The 26,053-nt window shown below is 42.6% G+C and overlaps 1 long non-coding RNA gene across 1 annotated transcript in view; it reads right to left on the bottom strand.

Annotated features, from left to right (window-relative positions):
* LOC105372316 (uncharacterized) overlaps nucleotides 1–24,577 on the bottom strand; it is a 98,054-nt gene extending 73,477 nt beyond the window's left edge. Inside the window, exons 1-2 of the long non-coding RNA XR_936408.3 lie at nucleotides 24,433–24,577; nucleotides 405–537 (exon numbers count right to left, since the gene is read on the bottom strand). This is a non-coding gene — a long non-coding RNA (uncharacterized LOC105372316). The remainder of the gene's footprint in view (nucleotides 1–404; nucleotides 538–24,432) is intronic.
* Between the last annotated feature and the right edge of the window lie 1,476 nt (nucleotides 24,578–26,053).

The following is a 26,053-nucleotide window of genomic DNA, read 5'->3' as shown; positions in this document are numbered from 1 at the left end:
TATATAGTAATAAAAACAGAATGGAAATGTGCAGAATAATGAAAAAAATTCAACAGAAACTACTACTCTCGCACATTTCAAAATGCAAAAAGAGAACTTTGAGAATAGTTTTAGTTTCTTAAAATCATGCAGATAATTTTGTGTCATCAAAACAATGTAAAAGCAGCAAGATTGTGCAGTGTCTTATATGCCATGAAGAAGACTTTGGCTTTCACTGTGAACTTGAAGGAAGCTCACTGAAAGAAAAGTAGAATCCTTAGAGAATTTGAAAGCATAAGACAGCAGATGTCCCTTTGTGAGAGAAAAATTATAAAACAACCGCCCAGGAACTATTTCCTTTGGAACACAGCTTCCCAAATCACATTTTAAGTACTGGCTTTCTCTTTCACCTTGGGATCTCTTACCTGTGTCGTCTGTTGTATTCACTTTCACTTGCACCCACCTGGGTGTTTGGCAATCATCTCATGTCTCCTCATACTCAAAGGATTTTTCCTTGCTCCAGACAGATGATCAGGTCTGGCTTGGAGACAACAATACCTGTTTTATTAAAAATAAATAACATGAGACCGGGTGTGGTGGCTCACGCCTCTAATCCCAGCACTTTGGGAGGCCAAGGTGGGTGGATCACAAGGTCAGAAGATTGAGACCATCCTGGCTAACATAGTGAAACCCTGTACCTACTAAAAAATACAAAAAATCAGCCACACATGGTGGCAGGCACCTGTAGTCCCAGCTACTCGGGAGGCTGAGGCAGGAGAATGGCATGAATCTGGGAGGTGGAGCTTACAGTGAGCCCAGATCGCACCACTGCACTCTAGCCTGGGTGACAAAGTGACACTCTGTCTCAAAAAAATAAAAATAAATAAATAAATAATATGAATCTTGCTCATATTCTCCAATTACAAGCTAGTAATGTGCTCAGCTGAGAGGGTGTGATAAAATATTCTAGTAAATTAATACAAAAATACTAAGTTAAAACAGAAATTTCTAAATATTTAGAAAACACTTTTATTGTTATTATTATTATACTATAAGTTTTAGGGTACATGTACACAACTTGCAAGTTTGTTACATATGTATACATTTGCCATGTTGGTGTGCCGCACCCATTAGCTTGTCATTTAGCATTAGGTATATCTCCTAATGCTATCCCTCCTCCCTTCCCCCACCCCACAACAGTCCCCAGTGTGTGATGTTCCCCTTCCTATGTCCATGTGTCCTCATTGTTCAATTCCCACCTATGAGTGAGAACATGCAGTGTTTGGTTTTCGGTCCTTGTGATAGTTTGCTGAGAATGATAGTTTCCAGCTTCATCCGTGTCCCTACAAAGCACATGAACTCATAATTTTTTATGGCTGCATAGTATTCTATGGTGTATATGTGCCACATTTTCTTAATCCAGTCCATCATTGATGGACATTTCAGTTGGTTCCAAGTCCTTGCTATTGTGAATAGTGCCACAATAAACATACGTGTGCCTGTGTCTTTATAGCAGCATGATTTATAATCCTTTGGGTATATACCCAGTAATGGGATTGCTGGGTCAAATGGTATTTCTAGTTCTAGATCCCTGAGGAATTGTCACACTGACTTCCACAATGGTTGAACTAGTTTACCGTCCAACCAACAGTGTAAAAGTGTTCCTATTTCTCCACATCCTCTCCAGCACCTGTTGTTTCCTTTTTAATGATTGCCATTCTAACTGGCGTGAGATGGTATCTCACTGTGGTTTTGATTTACATTTCTCTGATGGCCAGTGATGATGAGCATTTTTTCATGTATTTTTTGGCTGCATAAATGTCTTCCTTTGAGAAGTGTCTGTTCATATCCTTTGCCCACTTGTTGATGGGGTTTGTTTTCTTCTTGTGAATTTGTTTGAGTTCATTGTAGATTCTGGATATTAGCCCTTTGTCAGATGAGTAGGTTGCAAAAAATTTCTCCCATTCTTTAGGTTGCCTGTCCACTCTGATGGTGGTTTCTTTTGTTGTGCAGAAGCTCTTTAGTTTAATTAGATCCCATTTGTCAATTTTGGCTTTTGTTGCCATTGCTTTTGGTGTTTTAGACATGAAATCCTTGTCCATGCCTATGTCATGAATGGTATTGCCTAGGTTTTCTTCTAGGGTTTTTATGGTTTTAGGTCTAACGTGGAAGTCTTTAATCCACCTTGAATTAATTTTTGTATAAGGTGTAAGGAAAGGATCCAGTTTCAGCTTTCTACATATGGCTAGCCAGTTTTTCCAGCACCATTTATTAAATAGGGAATCCTTTCCCTATTGCTTGTTTTTGTCAGGTTTGTCAAAGATCAGATAGTTGTAGATATGCAGCATTATTTCTGAGGGCTCTGTTCTGTTCCAATGGTCTATATCTCTGTTTTGATACCAGTACCATGCTGTTTTGGTTACTGTAGCCTTGTAGTATAGTTGGAAGTCAGGTAGCATAATGTCTCCAGCTTTGTTCTTTTGGCTTAGGATTGAATTGGCAATGTGGGCTCTTTTTTGGTTCCATATGAACTTTAAAGTAGTTTTTTCCAATTCTGTGAAGAAAGTCAGTGGTAGCTTGATGGGGATGGCATTGAATCTATAAATTACCTTGGGCAGTATGGCTATTTTCATGATATTGATTCTTCCTACCCATGAGCATGGAATATTCTTCCATTTGTTTGTATCCTCTTTTTATTTCATTGAGCAGTGGTTTGTAGTGCTCCTTGAAGAGGTCCTTCACATCCCTTGTAAGGTGGATTCCTAGGTATTTTATTCTCTTTGAAGCAATTGTGAATGGGAATTCACTCATGATTTGGCTCTCTGTTTGACTGTTATTGGTGTATAAGAATGCTTGTGATTTTTGCACATTGATTTTGTATCCTGAGACTTTGCTGAAGTTGCTTATCAGTTTAAGGAGATTTTGGGGTGAGACTATGGGGTTTTCTAAATATACAGTCATGTCATCTGCAAACAAGGACAATTTGACTTCCTCTTTTCCTAATTGAATGCCCTTTATTTCCTTCTCCTGCCTGAGTGCCCTGGCCAGAACTTCCAACACTATGTTGAATAGGAGTGGTGACAGAGGGCATCCTTGTCTTGTGCAAGTTTTCAAAGGGAATGCTTCCAGTTTTTGTCCATCCAGTATGATGTTGGCTTTGGGTTTGTCATAAATACCTCTTATTATTTTGAGATACGTCCCATCAATACCTAATTTATTGAGAGTTTTTAGCATGAGGCATTGTTGAATTTTGTCAAAGGCCTTTTCTGTATCTATTGAGATAATCATGTGGTTTTTGTCTTTGGTTCTGTTTATATGCTGGATTACGTTTGTTGATTTTCATATGTTGAACCAGCCTTGCATCCCAGGGATGAAGCCCACTTGATCATGGAGGATAAGCTTTTTGATGTGCTGCTGGATTCAGTTTGCCAGTATTTTATTGAGGATTTTTGCATCAATGTTCAAGAATACTGGTCTAAAATTCTCTTTTTTTGTTGTGTCTCTGCCAGGATTTTGTAACAGGATGATGCTGGCCTCATAAAATGAGTTTGGGAGGATTCCCTCTTTTTCTATTGATTGGAATAGTTTCAGAAGGAATGGTACCAGTTCCTCCTTGTACCTCTGGTAGAATTCAGCTGTGAATCCATCTGGTTCTGGACTTTTTTTGGTTGGTAAGCTATTGATTATTGCCTTAATTTCAGAGCCTGTTATTGGTCTATTCAGAGATTCAACTTCTTCCTGATTTAGTCTTGGGAGAGAGTATGTGTCCAGGAATTTATCCATTTCTTCTAGATTTTCTAGTTTATTTGCATAGAGGTGTTTATAGTATTCTCTGATGATAGTTTGTATTTCTGTGGGATCAGTGGTGATATCCCCTTTGTCATTTTTTATTGCGTCTATTTGATTCTTCTCTCTTTTCTTCTTTATTAGTCTTGCTAGCGGTCAATCAATTTTGTTGATCTTTTCAAAAAACCAGCTCTGGGATTCATTGATTTTTTTGAAGGATTTTTTTGTGTCTCTATCTCCTTCGGTTCTGCTCTGATCTTAGTTATTTCTTGCGTTCTGCTAGCTTTTGAATGTGTTTGCTCTTGCTTCTCTAGTTCTTTTAATTGTGATGTTAGGGTGTCAATTTTAGATCTTTCCTGCTTTCTCTTGTGGGCATTTAGTGCTATAAATTTCCCTCTACACACTGCTTTGAATGTGTCCCAGAGATTCTGGTATGTTGTGTCTTTGTTCTCGTTGGTTTCAAAGAACATCTTTATTTCTGCCTTCATTTCGTTATGTAGCCAGTAGTCATTCAGGAGCAGGTTGTTCAGTTTCCATGTAGTTGAGCGGTTTTGAGTGAGTTTCTTAATCCTGAGCTCTAGTTTGATTGCACCGTGGTCTGAGAGACAGTTTGTTATAATTTCTGTTCTTTTACATTTGCTGAGGAGTGCTTTACTTCCATAGAACTATGTGGTCAATTTTGGAATAGGTGTGGTGTGGTGCTGAAAAGAATGTATATTCTGTTGATGTGGGGTGGAGAGTTCTGTAGATGTCTATTAGGTCTGCCTGGTGCAGAGCTGTGTTCAATTCCTGGATATCCTTGTTAACTTTCTGTCTCGTTGATCTGTCTAATGTTGACAGTGGGGTGTTAAAGTCTCCCATTATTATTGTGTGGGAGTCTAAGTCACTTTGCAGGTCACTAAGGACTTGCTTTATGAATCTGGGTGCTCCTATATTGGGTGCACATATATTTAGGACAGTTAGTTCTTCTTGTTGAATTGATCCCTTTACCATTATGTAATGGCCTTCTTTGTCTCTTTTGATCTTTGTTGGTTTAAAGCCTGTTTTATCAGAGACTAGGATTGCAACCCCTTCCTTTTTTTGTTTTCCATTTGCTTGGCAGATCTTCCTCCATCCCTTTATTTTAAGCCCATGTGTGTCTCTGCACATGAGATGGGTTTCCTCAATACAGCACACTGATGGGTCTTGACTCTTTATCCAATTTGTCAGTCTGTGCCTTTTAATTGGAGCATTTAGCCCATTTGCATTTAAGATTAGTATTGTTATGTGTGAATTTGATCCTGTCATTATGATGTTAGCTGGTTATTTTGCTCATTAGTTGATGCAGTTTCTTCCTAGTCTTGATGATCTTTATAATTCGGCATGTTTTTGCAGTGGCTGGTACTGGTTGTTCCTTTCCATGTTTAGTGCTTCCTTCAGGAGCTCTTTTAGGGCAGGCCTGGTGGTGACAAAATCTCTCAGCATTTGCTTGTCTGTAAAGTATTTTATTTCTCCTTCACTTATGAAACTTAGTTTGGCTGGATATGAAATTCTGGGTTGAAAATTCTTTTCTTTAAGAATGTTGAATATTGGCCCCCACTCTCTTCTGGCTTGCAGAGTTTCTGCAGAGAGATCAGCTGTTAGTCTGATGGGCTTCTTTTTGTGGGTAACCCACCTTTCTCTTGGGATGCCCTTAACATTTTTTCCATCATTTCAACTTTGGTGAATCTGACAATTATGTGTCTTGGAATTGCTCTTCTCAAGGAGTATCTTTGTGGCGTTCTCTGTATTTCCTGAATTTGAATGTTGGCCTGCCTTGCTAGATTGGGGAAGTTCTCCTGTATAATATCCTGCAGAGTGTTTTCCAACTTGGTTCCATTCTCCCCGTCACTTTCAGGTACACCAATTAGACATAGATTTGGTCTTTCCACATAGTCCCATATTTCTTAGGGGCTTTGTTCATTTCCTTTTATTCTTTTTTCTCTAAACTTCTCTTCATGCTTCATTTCATTCATTTCGTCTTCCATCACTGACACCCTTTCTTCCAGTTGATCGCATCGGTTACTGAGGCTTGTGCATTCATCACGTAGTTCTCGTGCCATGGTTTTCAGATCCATCAGGTCCTTTAAGGACTTCTCTTCATGCTTCATTTCATTCATTTCGTCTTCCATCACTGACACCCTTTCTTCCAGTTGATCGCATCGGTTACTGAGGCTTGTGCATTCATCACGTAGTTCTCATGCCATGGTTTTCAGATCCATCAGGTCCTTTAAGGACTTCTCTGCATGGGTTATTCTAGTTATCCATTAGTCTAATTCTTTTTTCAAATTTTTTAACTTCTTTGCCATTGGTTCGAACTTCCTCCTTTAGCTTGGAGTAGTTTGATCTTCTGAAGCCTTGATCTCTCAACTCGTCAAAGTCATTCTCCGCTCAGCTTTGTTCCATTGCTGATGAGGAGCTGCGTTCCTTTGGAGGAGGAGAGGCACTCTGATTTTTAGAGTTTCCAGTTTTTCTGCTCTGTTTTTTCCCCATCTTTGTGATTTTATCTACCTTTGGTCTTTGATGATGGTGACGTACAGATGGGTTTTTGGTGTGGATGTCCTTTCTGTTTGTTAGTTTTCCTTCTAACAGTCAGGACCCTCAGCTGCAGGTCTGTTGGAGTTTACTGGACGTCCACTCCAGACCCTGTTTGCCTGGGTATCAGCAGCAGTGGTTGCAGAACAGTGGATATTGGTGAACCACAAATGCTTCTGCCTGATTGTTCCTCTGGAAGTTTTGTCTCAGAGGAGTACCCGGCCATGTGAGGTGTCAGTCCACCCCTACTGGGAGATGCCTCCCAGTTAGGCTACTCAGGGGTCAGGGACCCACTTCAGGAGGCAGTCTGCCCATTCTCAGATCTCAAGCGGCGTGCTGGGAGAACCACTACTCTCTTTAAAGCTGTCAGACAAAGACATTTAAGTCTGCAGAGGTTACTGCGGTCTTTTGTCTGTGCCCTGCCCCCAGAGGTGGAGCCTACAGAGGCAGGCAGGCCTCCTTGAGCTGAGGTGGGCTCCACCCAGTTCAAGCTTCTGGCAGCTTTGTTTACCTACTCAAGCCTGAGCAATGGTGGGCGTACCTCCCCCAGCCTCTCTGCTGCCTTGCAGTTTGATCTCAGACTGCTGTGCCAGCAATGAGCAAGGCTCCATGGGCGTAGGACCCTCTGAGCCATGTGTGGGATATAATCTCCTGGTGTGCCGTTTGTTAAGCTCATTGGAAAAGCACAGTATTAGGGTGGGAGTGACCCGATTTTCCAGGTGCTGTCTGTCACCCCTTTCTTTGACTAGGAAAGGAAATTCCCTGACCCCTTGCACTTCCTGGGTGAGGGGATGCCTTACCCTGCTTTGGCTCACACACGGTGCAGTGCACCCAGTATCCTGCACCCACTCTCTGGCACTCCCCAGTGAGATGAACCTGGTACCTCAGTTGGAAATGCAGAAATCACCCGTGTTCTGTGTCACTCATGCTGAGAGCTGTAGACTGGAGCTGTTCCTATTTGGCCATCTTGGCTCCCAGAAAACACTTTGAATTCATCAGTTTTTCTTTTCTTTTCTTTTCTTTTTGAGACAGAGTTTCCCCCTTATTGCCCAGGTTGAAGTGCAATGGCACGATCTTGGCTCAGTGAAACCTCTGCCTTCTGGGTTCAACCAATTCTCCTGCCTCAGTCTCCAGGGTAGCTGGGATTTCATTCATGTGCCACCATGCCCGGCTAATTGTGTATTTTTATTAGAAATGGAATTTCTCCATGTTGGTCAGACTGGTCTCGAATTCCTGATCTCATGATCTTCCTGCCTCAGCCTCCTGAAGTGCTGGGATTATAGGCATAAGCCACCGCGCCCAGCCTACTTGTAGGTTTTTTAATTTTACTACCTGGTACTACAGAATCAAAACTTGTTGCTGATAATTAGATTTTCAGGTGGGGACAACAATATTTTATGCCACCAAATTTCTGGAATTATCACTAATTTAGAGTGAAGAATATAGCTCAACTCAGGAATGTGTAAAGTTTTGATTAACACAAAACATCTTGAACAAATTCTTTTCTAAATGAAAAATTTCTAAAGATTTTCTGGAAAATGGGTTCTGAAACTCTTTGATCAATGAATACATTACTAAAAAACATTCCACAAAAAAGAGAAAGAAAACCTTTAGAGTATATTATGAATTATGTATTAAAGTTATCCTCACCAAGAAAGACCAGGTTTATGTTGTTCTCTAACACCACATCGCTATGTAAATTTTGCTGTAAAGTATCCAGGCAATGCCACTCCTCCAGAGATAATTCTGTAAGCACATCTCTAAATTGCAATGGCCCCTGAAACAAACACACACTCACACACACACATTTTTACCAAGTGGCCATGGGCAGAGTTTTTATTTTGACTGAAGGTGAAATTGGAAAGTAAAAGGAACTGGTTCTTACTTATAGAATTAAATTATCCAAGAAAATAATCTCCAACAAAGAAATATTCTCTAATGTATTTTTTAACTCTGAGAAAAAAAGAACAGCATAAGATCCACATCAGTTCATATATGATGTTATTGTAGCTAACAAAGTATAAAATTAAGAGCATGAACATCAACATACACACTTTTCAGTGCTATATTTACATCATACTGAATGAGTTGTGCATATTTTTCAGATGGAAAAAGACATATTGAGCTACAAGACACCTCTGAAATTTTGATATGTACAATAAGTTCAAGACCTTGTTATACAGGTTTTTTTCTTTTTTTTTTTTTCCAGAAGATCCGACATAAAGTCTGATTTTTTTAATTTCTAACAAGCTCAGCAATACTGTCTATGTTTTTGGCCCAAGAAGGATATTTTGTAACACATCCAGTAAGTGGAAAAGCCTGGGTTTTCCAAGTTTTTCTCACCTGTAAACAAAGATAAAAGCCTTCATTTTCCAAAGAAAAATATGAAGAAAAAATAAGAAAAAAGGGCAGCTGCCAGATTAAGTATAGCGTTTTATACACATCAGCTGCATAAAGATACTTAATAATGAAGAGAAAAATAATTAACTGAAGAGTGAAAAAATCTGTCAGAGAGCTATTTAAGCAAGTGAATCATTAACCATTAACTGCACTGGACAAATTTTTATGATGTGCTAATGCACACAGAAGAACACAGCATCACTGTTGAAATATTCCTCCAACACAAAGTAAATAAAATCTGAATTTAACCTTAAAGAAACATGTTTTATGCAAACTTCAATGTACAGATAACTCCTATGTTCCATAATTTTTAGTAGTACTTTTTTTTATTTTTTATTATTATACTTTAAGTTCTAGGGTACATGTGCACAATGTGCAGGTTTGTTACATAGGTATACATGTGCCATGTTGGTTTGCTGCACCCATTAACTCATCATTTACATTAGGTATTTCTCCTAATGCTATCCCTCCCCCTGCACCCCACCCCATGACAGACCCCAGGGTGTGATGTTCCCCACCCTGTGTCTAACTGTTCTCATTGTTCAATTCCCACCTATGAGTGAGAACATGTGGTGTTTGGTTTTCTGTTCTTGTGACAGTTTGCTCAGAATGATGGTTTCCAGCTGCATCTATGTCCCTGCAGAGGACATGAACTCATTTTTTATGGCTGCATAGTATTCCATGGTGTATATGTGCCACATTTTCTTAATCCAGTCTATCATTGATGGATATTTGAGTTGGTTCCAAGTCTTTGCTATTGTGAATAGTGCTGCAATAAACATACATGTGCACGTGTCTTTATAGTAGCATGATTTATAATCCTTTGGGTATATACCCAGTAATGGGATCACTGGGTCAAATGGTATTTCTTGTTCTAGATCCTTGAGGAATCACCACATTGTCTTCCACAATGGTTGAACTAGTTTACACTTCCACCAACAGTCTAAAATCATTCCTATTTCTCCACAACCTCTCCAGCATCTGTTGTCTCCTGACTTTTTAATGATCGCCATTCTAACTGTTGTGAGATGGTATCTCACTGTGGTTTTGATTTGCATTTATCTAATGACCGGTAATGATGACCATTTTTTTCATATGTCTGTTGGCTGCATGAATGTCTTCTTTTGAGAAGTGTCTGTTCATATTATTTGCCCAATTTTAATGAGGTTTTTTTTCTTCTAAATATGTTTAAGTTCTTTGTAGATTCTGGATACTAGCTCTTTGTCAGATGGGTACATTGCAAAAATTTTTTTTCATTCTGAAAGTTGCCTCTTCACTCTGATGGTAGTTCTTTTGCTGTGCAGAAGATCTTTAGTTAATTAGATCCCATTTCTCTATTTTTGCCTTTGTTGCCATTGCTTTGGTGTTTTAGTCATGAAGTCCTTGCACATGCCTATGTCCTGAATGGTACTGCCTAGGTTTCCTTCTAGGGTTTTTATGGTTTTAGGTCTAACATTTAAGTCGTTAATCCATCTTGAGTTAGTTTTTGTGTAAGGTGTAAGGAAGGGATCCAGTTTCAACTTTCTACATATGGCTAGCCAGTTTTCCCAACACTATTTATTAAATAAGGAATTTTTTCCCCATATCTTGTTTTTGTCAGCTTTGTCAAAGATCAGATAGTTGTAGATGTGTGGTGTTATTTCTGAGGCCTCTGTTCTGTTCCAATGGTCTATATATCTGTTTTGTCACCAGTACCATGGTGTTTTGGTTACTCTAGCCTTGTAGTATAGTATAAAGTCAGGTAGCATAATGCCTCCATGTTTGTTCTTTTTGCTTAGGATTATCTTGGCAATGTGGGGTCTTTTTTGGTTCCATATATACTTTAAAGTAGTTTTTTTCCAATTCTGTGAAGAAAATGATTGGTAGCTTGATAAGGATGGCATTGAATCTATAAATTACCTTGGGCAGTCTGGCCATTTTCATGATATTGATTCTTCCTATCAATGAGCATGGAATGATCTTCCATTTGTTTATGTCCTCTTTTATTTCATTGAGCAGTGGTTTGTAGATCTCCTTGAAGAGGTCCTTCACATCCCTTTTAAGTTGGATTCCTAAGTATTTGATTCTCTCTAGCAATTGTGAATGGGAGTTCACTCATGATTTGGCTCTCTGATTGTCTGTTATTGGTGTATAGGAATGCTTGTGATTTTTGCACATTGATTTTGTATCCTGAGACTTTGCTGAAGCTGATTATCAGCTTAAGGAGATTTTGGGCTGAGACGATGGCATTTTCTAAATATACAATTTTGTCATCTGCAAATAGGGACAGTTTAACTTCCTCTTTTCCTAATTGAATACCTTTATTTCTTTCTCTTGCCTGATTGCCCTGGCCAGAACTTCCAACACTATGTTGAATAGAAGTGGTGACAGTGGGCATCCCTGTCTTGTGCAAGTTTTCAGAGGGAATGCTTCCACTTTTTTCCCATTCAGTATGATATTGGCTGTGGGTTTGTCATAAATACCTCTTTTTATTTTGAGATATGTTACATCAATACCTAGTTTATTGAGAGTTTTTAGCATGAAGGTTGTTGAATTTTGTCAAAGGCCTTTTCTGCATCTATTGAGATAATCATGTGGTTTTTTTGTCTTTGGTTCTGTGTATGTGATGGATTATGTTTATTGATTTGTGTATGTTGAACCAGCCCTGCATTCCAGGGATGAAACCAACATGATTGTGGTGGATAAGCTTTTTGATGTGCTGCTGGATTCAGTTTGCCAGTATTTTATTGAGGTTTTTTGCACTGATGTTCATCAGTGATATTGGTCTAAAATTCTCCTTTTTTTGTTGTGTCTCTGCCAGGCTTTGGTATCAGGATGCTGTTGGCCTCATAAAATGAGTTAGGGAGGATTCCTTTTTTTTCTATTGATTGGAATAGTTTCAGAAGGAATGGTACCAGCTCCTCCTCATAGAAACCAGCTGTGAATCTGTCTGGTCCTGGACTTTTTTTAGATGGTAAGCTATTAATTATTGCCTTAATTTCAGAGCCTGTTATTGGTCTATCCAGAGATTCATCTTCTTCCTTGTTTAATCTTAGGAGGGTGTATGTGTCCAGGAATTTACTCATTTCTTCTAGATTTTCAAGTTTGTTTGCATAGAGGTGTTTATAGTATTCTCTGATGGTAGTTTGTATTTCTGCAGGATTGGTGGTGATATCCCCTTCATCATTTTTTATTGCACCTATTTGATTATTCTCTCTTTTCTTCTTTATTAGTCTTGCTAGTGGTCTATCCATCTTGTTGATCTTTTCAAAAAACCAGCTCCTGGATTCATTGATTTTTTAAAGGGTTTTTTGTGTCTCTATCTCCTTCAGTTCTGCTCTGATCTTAGTTATTTCTTGCCTTCTGCTAGCTTTTGAATGCGTATTGCTCTTGCTTCTCTAGTTCTATTGTGATGTTAGGGTGTTGATTTTAGATATTTGCTGCTTCCTCTTGTTGGCATTTAGTGCTATAAATTTCCCTCTACACAGTGCTTTAAATGTGTCCCAGAGATTTTGGTACATTGTGTCTTTGTTCTCATTGGTTTCAAAGAACATCTTTATTTCTGCCTTCATTTCGTTATTTACCCAGTAGTCATTCAGGAGCAGGTTGTTCAGTTTCCATGTAGTTGTGCAGTTTTGAGTAAGTTTCTTAATCCTGAGTTCTAATTTGATTTCAGTGTGGTCTGCAAGACTGTTTGTTGTGATTTCTGTTCTTTTACATTTGCTGAGGAGTGCTTTACTTCCAACTATATGGTCAATTTTAGAATAAGTGTGATGGGGTGCTGAGAAGAATGTATATTCTGTTGATTTGTGGTGGAGAGTTCTGTAGATGTCTGTGAGGTCTGCTTGGTGCAGAGCTGAGTTTAAGTCCTGGATATCCTTGTTAACCTTCTGTCTCATTGATCTGTCTAAAAAGTCTCCCATTTTTATTGTGTGGGAGTCTAAATCTCTTTGTACTTCTCTAAAGACTGGCTTTATGAATCTGGGTGCTCCTGTATTGGGTGCATATATATTTAGGATAGTTAGCTCTTCTTACTGAATTGATCCCTTTACCATTAGGTAATGGCCTTCTTTGTCTCTTTTGATCTTTGTTGGTTTAAAGTCTGCTTTATCAGAGACCAGGATTGCAACCACTGTTTTTTTTTTTTCCTTTCCATTTGCTTGGTAGATCTTCCTCCATCCCTTTGTTTTGAACCTATGTGTGTCCCTGCACATGAGATGAGTCTCCTGAATACAGCACACAGATGGGTCTTGACTCTTTATCCAATTTGCCAGTCTGTGTCTTTTAACTGGGGCATTTAGCTCATTTACATTTAAGGTTAATATTGTTATGTGTGAATTTGATCCTGTCATTATGATGTTAGCTGGTTATTTTGCTTGTTAGTTGATGGGCTTTCTTCCTAGCATCAATGGTCTTTACAATTTAGCATGTTTTTGTGGTGGCTGGAACTGGTGGTTCCTTTCCATGTTTAGTGCTTCCTTCAGGAGCTCTTGTAAGGCAGGCCTGGTGGAGACAAAATCTCTCAGCATTTGCTTGTCTGTAAAGGATTTTATTTCTCCTTCACTTATGAATCTTAGTTTGGCTGGATATGAATTCTGGGTTGAAAATTATTTTCTTTAAGAATGTTGAATATTGGCCCCCACTCTCTTCTGACTTGTCGCATTTCTGCCAAGAGATCTGCTGTTAGTCTGTTGGGCTTCAGTCTGTGGGTAACCGGACCTTTCTCTCTGGCTGCCCTTAGCATTTTTTCCTTCATTTCAATTTTGGTGAACCTGACAATTTTGTGTCTTGGGGTTGCTCTTCTTGAGGAGTATCTTTGTGGTGTTCTCTGTATTTCCTGAATTTGAATATTGGCCTGCCTTGATAGGTTGGGGAAGTTCTCCTGGTTAATATCCTGGAGAGTGTTTTCTACCTCGTTCCATTCTCCCCGTCACTTTCAGGTACATGAATCAAACGTAGAATTGGTCTTTTCACGTAGTCCCATATTTCTGGGAGGCTTTGTTCATTTCTTTTTACTCTTTTTTCTCTAAACTTCTCTTCTCACTTTATTTAATTAATTTGATCTTCAATCACTGATACCCATTCTTCCACTTGATTGAATCAGCTATTGAAGCTTGTGCATGTGTCATGTAGTTCTTGTGCCATGGTTTTCAGCTCCATCAGGTCACTTAAGCTCCTTCCTACACTGTTTATTCTAGATAGCCATTTGTCTAATCTTTTTTCAAGGTATTGAGCTTCCTTGTGATAGGTTCAAACATCCTCCTTTAGCTCAGAGAAGTTTGTTACTACCAATATTCTGAAGCCTACTTCTGTCAGCTCTTCAAAGTCATTCTCTATCCAGCTTTGTTCCATTGCTGGCGAGGAGCTGCGATCCTTTGGAGGAGAAGAGGCACTCTGGTTTTTAGAATTTTCAGCTTTTCTGATCTGGTTTCTCCCCATCTTTTTGGCTTAATCTACTTTTGGTGTTTGATGTTGGTGACCTACATATGGGATTTGGTGTGGATGTCCTTTTTGTTAACGTTGATGCTATTTCTTTCTGTTTGTTAGTTTTCCTTCTAACAGTCAGCTCCCTCAGCTGCAGGTCTACTGGAGTTTGCTGGAGGTCCACTCCAGACCCTGTTTGCCTGGGTATCACCAGTGGAGGCTGCAGAACAGCAAATATTGCAGAACAGCAAATGTTGCTGCCTGATCCTTCCTCTGGAAGCTTCATCCCAGAGGGGTACCTGGCTGTATGAGCTGTCAGTCAGCCCCTACTGGGAGATGTCTCCCAGTTAAGCTACACGGGGGTTAGTGACCCACTTGAGGAGGCAGTCTGTATGTTCTCCAAGCTCAAACACTGTGCTGGGAGAACCACTGCTCTCCTTAGAGCTGTCAGACAGGGATGTTTAAGTCTGCAGAAGTTTTTGCTGCCTTTGGTTTAGCTATGCCCTGCCCCCAGAGATGGAGTCTACAGAGACAGAGGCCTTGCTGAGCTGTGGTGGACTCCGCCCAGTTCAAGCTTCCTGACTGCTTTGTTTACCTACTCAAGCCTCAGCAGTGGCAGACGCCCCTCCCCCTGCCAGGCTGCTGCCTTGCAGGTTGATCTCAGACTGCTGCACTAGCAGTGAACAAGGGTCTGTGGGCATGGGACCCACCAAGAAAGTCATGGGATATAATCTCTTTGTGTGCCATTTGCTAGGACCATTGGAAAAGCACAGTATTTGGGTGGAAGTTTCCTATTTTTTCAGGCACTGTCTTTGGTGAAAGTATGGCTTTCCTTGGCTAGGAAAGGGAAATCACCTGACCCCTTGTGCTTCTGGGTGAGGCAATGCCCCACTCTGCTTTGGCTCTGCCTCCATGGGCTGCACCCACTGTCCAACCAGTCCCAATGAGATGAACCAGGTACCTCAGTTAGAAATGCAGAAATCACCCATCTTCTGTGTCAATCACACTGGGAGCTGTAGACCAGAGCTGTCCCTATTTGGCCATCTTGGAACGGAATCACCTTAGTAGTAATTTTAAGTAGACTTCATTCAGCACCGTAGAGAGCTGGTATCTCCTAATAATTTTTTTCAGAACTTTCTGGTTAATAAATGCCATCCCACTTAAATAAGCATTTTCTTTTCTTTTCTTTTCTTTTTTTTTTGAGATGGAGTCTCGCTGTGTCACCCAGGCAGGAGTGCAGTGGCTCAACCTCGGCTCACTTCAACTTCTGCCTTCTGGGTTCAAGCAATTCTCCTTCCTCAGCCTCCCAAGTAGCTGGCATTACAGATGACTGCAATGACACCCAGCTAATTTTTGTATTTTTGGTAGACACAGGGTTTCACCATGTTAGCCAGGTCTTGAACTCCTGACTTCAGGTGATCCACCTGCCTCTGCCTCTCAAAGTGCTAGGATTACAGGCGTGAGCCATTGAGCTCAGCCTAAAATAAAATATTTCTTAATCAAACTTTACTTAAGTTTATCTTTCTCCCTCAGGCTCCTGAACTTTGAGCTACTCTCAGTCTGTGTCAACATACAACCCCATTTTATGTCCCTACTAAGAACATGCTGATTTCAGGGTATGACATTCTCTGATCTAAAATCTGACTTTTTCACCCTCCATTTGCCATTCCCCTCCCACCTCCTTTCCAATATTGTTTGCTCCTCCCTAGGAAAGAAAGCCCTTTTCTGCCTACATTTTTGCAAGCCATAAAGGCCTTATAGTTAGTTGATACTTCCTCCTGTTGCAATACATTTTGGAATTCGTTTTTTTTTTTTAACATAAATCTGACGTTGTTATTTTACAAAGTCTAAAAAATGCCTCAAAACAATAACTTCATTATCAGTTAGAACCTCCCAGTTTCCTTTCGTCTTCATCTTAACTGCATCAAGCTGTGGGGCCCCAGCTTTCCAGGACTCTGTAGCTTCTCTCAGGATAAAGGCTCCTTCCATTGCTAGGATGCGCAGGCTGGGACATCTGCAGGGGAGGCTCCCCAGAAAAAAACAGTAGGCCTTTAATAACTTACTGTTAGCCAGGCGCGGTGGCTCAGGCCTGTAATCCCAGCACTTTGGGAGGCTGAGGCAGGCAAATTACCTGAGGTTGTGAGTTGGACACCAGCCTGACTAACATGGAGAAACCCCGTCTGTACTAAACATACCAAATTAGCTGGGTGTGATGGCACATGCCTGTAATCCCAGTTACTCTTGAGGCTGAGGTAGGAGAATCACTTGAACCGGAAGGTGCAGTGAGCCAAGATCGTGCCATTGTACTCCAGCCTGGGCAACAAGAGCGAATCTCTGTCTCAAAAACAACAATAACAACAACAAAAACCTCCTGTTGTAGGCTTAGTATTAGTCTTAGCTTGGAATCACTAGGTTCAAGCTTTAATTTCCATGTCAGAGTTATTCACTTCGTGTTTGAAACTAAGTGTTTGAAAAATCCAGTGAAATTACTCACAGTGTTTAAATAAACAAAGGAAATTTTAAGATGCTTACCTTTTTTTTTTCTTTTTTCTTTTTTTTTTTTTTTTGAGAATGAGTCTGGCTCTTTCACATAGGCTGGAGTGTGATGGCAGGATCTCAGCTCACTGCAACCTCCACCTCCCGGGTTCAAGGAATTCTTGTGCCTCAGCCTCTTAAGTAGCTGGGATTAGAGGCTCTTGCCACCACGCCCCACTAATGTTTGTATTTTTAGTAGAGACGGGTTTCACCATGTTGTCCAGGCTGGTCTAGAACTCTTGACTGATAGATTCTCCCCGGGGCCTGAAAGCTTGAAGGGATGAGTAACTCCCTTCTCAGGCCCAGTCCCAAGGTACAAGGCTACTTGCATCAGCAGTGTGCACCAGCAAGATAGCAGTAGTAGAAAGAGAGATGGCCAGAAGACACCCACCCTGGCCAGAAGACACGTACTCCTGAAGATCAAGAAAGAGGCCGTCCAGGTACTATATAGCAGCCATGTCAGACTGGGCCACTTCTGATTTACAGGAGACCATGAAATCCCTGACCCATCCTTATTTGGTGCTGGGGCCATTTTAGGCCTCAGCCCGCCTGCAACCAGGCACTCATTAAAACACCATGTGTCTCCACACTGCCTCATGTTGTCTGTTAGTGTGCTCTCAGGGTTCAAACCAATACAAGAACCTTACATTTTGGTGCCAAAACCCAGGAGAGCTGATGTCTGCATCCCCATGGACCTACCCCTCTGCCCTGGAGAGCAGGCCACAGCAGCTGGACAAAAGAAGCTCCTCAGCCTCCAGTTGCCTCTCTGTACATGCACATCAGTCAGTGATCTCACCTACTGGTAGCTTTCTGTGGGAGCCCGCTTAACAGGGAAAAATCTGTATGGCCTCTCTTGGTTCTTGTGTCCAAAAATCCAATGTTGGTCCAAGAAGGCTCTGGCATGTGTCAGGCACTAGCTGATCATCTGGCCTTAGGGGAACCCCTCTAAGCCATCTGATCCCGTTCCAGGAATGAAAAAGGCAGTGATGACAACTGCTCCTTTTATTGTCTCCATCCGGCTATCCAGGACGGTCTCCTTTTCTCTGTTCTCTAGTGCCTACCCTCCATTATAGAAAATTCCCAGTTTTCCATTCTGAAGGACAGCCTTCTAGGCTGCCTTGTAAAAAACCTGCAAACCTTAGGCCTCAGGCAAGATATCTGCCCTAAGCACCTTGTCTTTTTTTGCAATTCAGTCTGGCCACATTATGAATTGGATAATGGGTCCAAATGGCCCACAAATGGAACATTCGACTTTACAATTTTAACTGATTAAAGCAATTATTGCTGACTGCTGGAAAAATGGGCAGAAATGCCTTATGTCCAGGCCTTTTTGCACTCAGATCACAACAAGACCTCTGCAATTCTTGCTCACTTGTTCAAATACTTCTCCATTCTCACCGACCTGATCACCTTTCTCCTCCCAACCCTACGTCTTTTTTCTTACTGGATCCAGCAGACTGCTGTCCACCCCTCACAGCCCCTACCTCTCCCTCTCAACTGTCTTCTATAACCCCCCAAGCCTCCTCTTTATATTCTCAGCTGCCATCTTCCCAGTCAGCAGTATCCACTTCTTTTCCTACATCGTCCCCTCCTCAGGACAATTCTAGTATTGCCTGTACCCAGTCTCCTCCCCCACCGCCCTCTCTTGAGGCCTGTAAACCCATCCAACCACCTTACACCCCTATCTATCCTCCACTGCCTATCAACTCAACCCCCCTTCTCCCTTCAAATGGTCAGTAGGAACCACTTCCGACTTCTTCCTTCTCTCCCATCCATACTCACTCAGGTGCCATCTTTGGCCCATGCCCCACCCTTACTTCAGTGTCGGTGCTAGAGTGCCCCCTTTGGGAAGTAGCAGGAGCTGAAGGTATTGTGAGAGTTCATGCTCCCTTCTCCCTCACTGATCTCTCTCAAATTAACAAAAGATTTGGTTCATTTCCAAAAGACCCTACCTCTTATTTTAGGGAATTTCAGTACCTTACCCAGTCTTATGAACTAACTTGGCATGACCTCTACATTATCCTCTCTTCAACTCTCACCCCAGAAGACTGAGACTATCTGGACCCTAGCTCAGGCACATGCTAATACAATTAATCACCAGGCTCTTGCCCAGCTACTGGTACAGAGGCAGTCCCCAACCAGGACCCCCACTAGGATTATCAAGACAGGGACCCTGGATGCCACTATCAAGACCACATGATTGTGTGTCTCCTTGCAGGACTCAAAAGGTGCCCATAAAGCAGTCAACTATGAAAAACTTTCAGAAATCACCCAATGTCCTGATGAAAACCCAGCCCTTTTTCTCCCTCTTGTTTACCTGAAGCCATGAGAAAATATAACAACGTAGACTCAACCAGCTCAGAAGGAACCACTATTTTAAACCTTCAGTTCATTTCCCAATCCACCCCTGATATTCAGCACAAGCTTCAGAAGCCAGAAGCTTGGTAACAGCCCACAAACCCCACAAAAAGATCTTAATTTAGCCTTCAAAGTCTTTAACAATCATGATGAGGAAAGTAAAAGGCAAAAACAGGCAGAGTTTCAAATGCTTGCCTCCGCCATCAGGGGCCCTGCAGGCCCATGGGGCCACAGCTCCACATGGAAGCCCCTAGGAATCCACCTGCACCTGCACATTTCAAGTGTGGCAATGAAGGCCACTGGTCCAGACAATGCCCAAACCCAGGTAAGCCCACCAGTTCGTGCCCCCTCTATGGAGGACTCCACTGGAAGTCAGACTGTGAGCGTCCCCCAGAAGCACTGCCCTCATCCCTTCCTGAGCCAGCCAAAACCTCCTACTTGGATCTCACCAGCCTTGCTGCTGAAGACTGATGGTGCCCTGGAAAGGGCATCCCAGCAACTACCATATCTTCATCTGAGCCAAGGGTAACACTGATGGTGGCAGGTAGGCCAGTATGTTTTTTAAAATTAATACTGGGGCAACCTACTCTGCTTTACCTAATTTCCCAGTCCTCCCAGTCTGTTGTAGGAATTGATGGACAAGTGTCCAAACCATGAGCCACTCCTCCACTTTTCTGGTCCCTGCACACCTTTTCCTTACTCACTCTTTCTTAGTCCTGCCCTCATGCCCAACTCCCCTCCAAAGTAGAGACATCCTCTCAAAACTCCACACTACTCTCCACCTCCACATTCCCCATAGTACCCAACGCATCTACCCAGACCCCTCGGGGGCTTCTAATTTTCTTCTTCTCCTCCAACCTCCCACCTTAAAACATGCAGCCTTTCCTTATTCCCCATCCATAGTTAACCTCACTGTTTAGGATACTTCCACACCCTCAGTGACAGAACACCACGCCCCCGTTCACATTACCCTTAAAAACCCCACCCAGTTCCTATCACAGAAGCAGTATCCAACCCCCAAGCAGCTCTTGTAGGCCTAAACCCTATCATTTCTCGCCTCCTCGCCAATCACCTACTCTGCCCAACAAACTCCCCTTTTCACACTGATTCTACCTGTTAAAAAGCTACATGGAACTTATCACTTAGTCCAGGCCCTAGGCTTATTAACCAAGCTGTACTCCCAGTATGTCCAGTAGTTTCTAACCCATACACTTTACTTTCCGTGGTTCCCTACAATATCACCCATTTTTCTGTCCTAAACTAAATAATGCTTTTTTTCACAATTCCTTCACACCCTGATTCTCAGGACCTCTTTGCCTTTACGTAGGAAAACCCCGACACCCACCTTTCACCTGGTGCATACCCAGATAAGCCCACCAGGCCATGCCCCCTCAGGTAAGCCCACCAGGCTGTGCCCACCTACCCTTGAAGTAGTAACCTCAGGGTTTCAGAGACAGTCCCCACCTTTTTGGGCAGGCCCTGGCTTGCAACCTCTGTACCTTATTCCTAACACCATCCACTCCCCTTCAATATGCTAATGATCTGCTCTTGTGTAGCCCCTCTCAAAGAGACTGCAACGCCCATACTATCTTTCTTTTAAACTTCTTGGCAGAATGGGGGTATCAGGTCTCCCCTAAAACTCAAATATGCACCCCCTCAGTCACCTATCTAGGCCTAGCTCTTACCCCACGAAACCGAAGGCTCACAACCAACCACATATCCCTCCTCCAGTCCCTCCCGCCTCCACAAACTAGCAAGAAATTCTCTTTTCTAGGACTAGCGGGATATTTTAGTCTCTAGGTTTCCTCCTTCGCTCTACTTGCCAATCCGTTATACCAAGCCACTAAAGGCCCTCTCCATGAGCCTTTAAACCCTGCACAGCCTATTACCCAACCTTTCTGTCTACTCCAAAAGGCTCTCAACTCAGCCCCTATCCTCGTTCTCCCAGACGCAGACCTTACCAAACCTTTCTCCCTCTATACCGACGAACAGCGTAGAGTTGCACTAGGTGTTCTAACCCAGTATAAGGGACCCACCCTCCAGGATGTTGCCTAACTCTCTAAACAGCTTGAAGCCACAGTTCTTGGATGACCTGCCTGTCTCTGAGCCTTGACGGCAGCTGCTGTTCTCACCCTTGAAAGCCTAAAACTATCTCTCCATGCCAACCTAACAGTTTATTCAACCCATAACATCAAAGACATGCTAGCTCACCCCAGTGTACTAAGTCTCATCTCTGCCCCACTGCTCCTCCAACTGTATGCTCTATTCATAGAAACTCCCCACATCACTGTGCTAACAGCTCGCATCTAAACCCAGCCATGCTCTGTCCCTGTCCTCATTCCCTCCTTTTCACTCCTCCAAAGAAAAAGAGGACTTCCAGGCCAAAAACCTTCAAAAGCAAGGACCATGGTATGTCAAGGAAGGGTGCTTCATCCTTCCTCAATCTCAAACAATCCCTATCCTCCAAAGTCTCCACAACTCTTTCCATGTCAGTTACAAACTTCTCCCTCAATTTCTCCACCCTATTCTCACTTGTCCTCATCTTTCCTGCTGTGTTCAAGGAATCACCCTGTCCTGCTCTATATGCCACTTAGTGTCACCCCAAGGCTTACCCTGGCCACCACCTTTTCCTACCCACCAAGCCCAGGGCAAGGTACCCAGGCAAGATTGGCAAGTAAACTTCACTCACATGCTGCCCGATAAACGGCTCCGCTATCTTCCAGTCTTTGTCTGTACTTTCTCCGGGTAGGTAGAAGCATTCCCAACAACTTCAGAAGGTGCAAATGTCATCACACAAACTCTCATCATGCATATAATTCCCCGTTTCGGACTCCCAACATCCATCCAGTATGATAACAGGCTCACCTTTATCAGCCAAATTACCCAAGGTGTCTCTACATCCTTAAGAATCAAATAGGTTCCCCATACACCCTACAGGCCTCAATCTTCAGGCAAAGTTTAAAAAGTCAACTCTGTCCTTAAAACCCAACTCACCAAGCTAGCTCTAGAAACCTGTCAGTTGTGGACAAGAAATCTCCCTTTCACCCTCATGAGACTCCACACAACACCAAAAGCACCCTCTTTTTATACTCCCTTCAAAATCATACATAGCCATACTTTTGTCTTAAGGCCTCCATCCTTACCAGACTCCGAGCCACTCAGGAATTACCTCCCCTACTTAATCCAACACAGTCTTTCATTCGTGAAGCAGCAAATGAGGCCATGCCTCTCCCTGTCAGCACCTCCTTGTCCTCTCAACATAACTGCCTTGCAGGCATAGACATGTTTATCTGCCAACCCAGCCCTCACCAAAAGGTACAACCAAAGTGGACAGGCCCTTACACTGTCATACTCAGCATGCCAACTGTAGTGAGAGTCCAAGAACTCCCCCACTGGATCCATCACACCAGGGTCAAGCTCATCTCCAAGGCTACTCCTTCCTCCAAAACATTAACAGCAGGTGACACCCTTGGAGTCCCTGTGCAAGAAGACGAGTGGCCTCTGCAATGGATCATCGAATATTATGGCCCTGCCATTTAGGCAGAGGATGGTTCATGAGGTTATCGCACTCCCATATATATGCTAAATAGAATAATTACAGGCTGTTCTAAAGATAATCACTAACCAAACGGTCTCAGCCTTGGAAATGTTCACACAACAACAAAATCAAATGCGCACAGCAATTTATCAAAACAGGCCAGCACTAGGCTACTTATTAGCAGGAAAGGGTGGAATCTGTGGTAAGTTTAATATCCTAATTGCTGTCTTAACATAGATGATAACAGAAAAGTTGTTCTAGAAATCACTTCAAACATGAGAAAAGTAGCCCATGTACCAGTCTAAACCTGGAAGGGATGTGGCCCAACAAACCTCCTAGGAGGGTGGTTCTTTCATTTAGGAGGATTTAAAAGGCTGGTAGGGACAGTTACCTTTATCATTAGGTTCCTCCTGTTTCTCGCCTGTGTTATCCCACTAATAATAAAAGCCATTAAAACTCTCGTTGAAACTACAGTTAACTGCCAGACAATCCAGATGATGCTTCTGCTTCAACAACACGATGGACACCAACCCGTCTCTCAAGAATACCCCAAAAATTAACCAGCTCCCATCTAAACCCAGCCACGCACCTTTTTCCAAGGTTCCAATGCCACCCCCTATGTCACACCTGAAGTAGTTATTGAGAAAGTCACCCCTTTTCCCTTTCTTTCTATAACCAAAAAGAGAGGAAAGAAAGAATCTCCCCGGGGTCTGAAAGCTTGAAGGGATGAGTAACTCCTCCCTTCCCAGGCCCAGTCCCAAGGCGCAAGCCTACCTGCATCAGCAGTGTGTGCCAGCAAGATAGCAGAAGCAGGAAGAGAACCGTCTGGAAGACATCAACTCTGGCCAGAAGACATGTAACCCTGAAGTTTGAGAAAGAGGCTGTCTGGGTACTACGTAGCAGCCCCATCAGACTGGGAGACTTCCTGTTTACTGGAGACAATAAAACTCCTGCCTCGTCCTCATTTGGTGCTGACGCCATTGTAGGCCTCAGCCGGCCTGCACCCTGGCACTCACTAAAACAGCATGTTGCTCCACACTGCCTGGTGTTGTCTGTTGGCACGCTCTCACGGTTCAAACCAATACAAGAGCCTTACATTGACCACGTGATCAGCCCGCTTCAGCCTCCCAAATTGCTGGGATTACAGGCATGAGCCACCGCACCCAGCCAGGAAGGGGTTATTAACCCTAACACAGTTCCTGTTTTTGTGTCCTTCCTCTATTGGCTTGGGTCAGACCCAATAATCTAAGCTGATCCCGGTTGGCTTAGACCCCAGCTTTTTCCAAATAGGGTAAACGAGCAATTTGCAACAAAAGGAGAAGGGGAAAGCAGGGATAAATTTGATTTACAACTTATGACAAAGAAGTTGAGTCTTTGAAGAGGAACTTACTTGTTCTAATAACTCTTTACCTCAAGTGATCCGCCCGCCTCGGCCTCCCAAAGTGCTGGGATTACAGGCATGAACCACCACTCCTGGCCCCATACATTTTTAATAGGAGAAAAGAGAAACTGTGAACCCCACGGACCAAAGCTCTTCCCATTCATGAACCTGAACCCCAAGTCAGGATTCTCCCTTGACGACCCTCTCATGATCCCTGTACAATCTGGGAGAGACACAGCGCTGCAGATGCAGAGCTGCCCACAGAGGGCTCCAGGCCAGGACACAGTCATTGCGCACGGAAGAGAGGACGCCCAGGGGGCCAGGCTTCTGTGTAGCCGCCATCTTATGGCTGAACAGGACTGAGGCCGAGCTGGGTAAGGAGAACTCGGGGCACAAATTGTGGAGCTGACTGACTGGAGCTGAGTCTTGCCAAAGACATTTCCTTCCGGTTCCAACCAGCCCCTCCCCCTCTCTCGGGATGTCGGACCGGCATTCTTACCATTTCCGGGCTTCCGGGATCCCGGCGTCCTAGCTGTGGATCTCCTAATACCTACAGGACACAGGGCCACAGAGGCTGGGCCTCTAGGGGCAGAGGACACAGAGCAGTGAAGAAGAGACCTGGAGCTCAGGCTGCAGAGAGACACAAAGGCCCCGCCAAACCCGGAAGCCGTGCTGTTCGCTACAGCTGTGTGCCTGATTGGACGGTTTCCAGCACAGTGTCCCTGATTGGATAATTCTTACATCCCAGAGCATGGGAAAATTCTATTTCTTTTTTACTCTCTCCTGTTGAATGTATTCAAAAGGTGAACAGAAGTATTTTGCTGTCATATTAATAATACAACAAATTTTTGTTCAAGAGAAAATCAACTTTTACTTTGGTAATAGTGTAGTATCCATTAAAGCTAATTTTAATAAAACCTTATATATAAATCAAATTTGTCATTTTTGACAACTCCAGATTTACATACGTATTTTGTAATGTCTTGTAATTTTTTAAACTATTTATATTTTATGCACATTATTTTTATTTGTTCAATTTGAAACAACTTTTAAGTAATTTCAAACTGCTATAGGACATAGAAAGAAATCGAGGCGATCCTGGCTAACATGGTGAAACCACGTCTCTACTGAAAATACAAAAAAATTAGCCAGGCCTCCTGGCATGCACCTGTGGTCCCAGCTACTCCAGAGGCTGAGGCAGGAGAATTGCTTGAACCAGGGAGGTGGAGGTTGCGGTGATCCAAGATCACACCACTGCACTCCAGCATGTGCAACACAGTGAGACTCCATCTCAAAAAAAATTAAATAAATAAATAAACAAAACGCTGTAAATAAACAAAATTTCTCATTTTTGACCCCTCGAGATATGCATATATATTTTGTAATCTCTTCTAATTTTTATGACTTCTTGTATTTTATTTTTATGTACATTCTTTTTATTATTTTCAGTTTGAAACATCCATTAAGTGATTTCACAGTTATAGGAGATAGAAAGAAATCATTCAGGGACAGGCATGGTGGCTCACGCCTTTAATCCCAGCACTTTGGGAGGCCAAGGTGGGCAGATCACTTGGGGTCAGAAGTTCAAGACCAGCCTGGCCAACATGGTGAAACACCATCTCTACTAAAAATACAAAGAATTAGCAGGGTGTGGTGGTGCACTCCTATAGTCCCAGCTACTTCGGAGGCAGAGGCAGGAAAATCGCTTGAATCGAGGAGGTAAAGGTTGTGTAAGGCCCAAGTGGTTCGCTTTGCCCTTTGCCTAGACAGAGCCGATTCATCAAGACAGAGGAATTTGTGGAGGTAAAGTTAAATATTAAATTTGAAGTCAATTGAACGTGGACAGAAGCAATGGTCACCAAGTCCCAGAATAGGTTTTGTGAGCCCCTAGAGGCATTCATCCAGTGCTGTTTTGGAGAAATCTCTATTTCAATCTATTCATATACATTCATTTTTGAAAAACAATAGACAATCGCAAAAACAAGTTAATCTTTTTGTGTTCCTTAAGCCCAGTTGCAAAGGGCCCTCATGACCGGGCCTCATGCCAAACAACTTGTTACAAATGAGCTAAGGTCCCAGACTGCACTGAAGCTTCATGAGACCTCTCCTCATCTGTGCAC

Source organism: Homo sapiens, chromosome 19 (genome assembly GCF_000001405.40).
Source record: "Homo sapiens chromosome 19, GRCh38.p14 Primary Assembly".
In the NCBI taxonomy this organism is placed as follows: Eukaryota; Metazoa; Chordata; class Mammalia; order Primates; family Hominidae; genus Homo; species Homo sapiens.
Note: the sequence above shows the minus strand (reverse complement) of the source record. Positions and strands in the feature narration are given on the sequence as shown.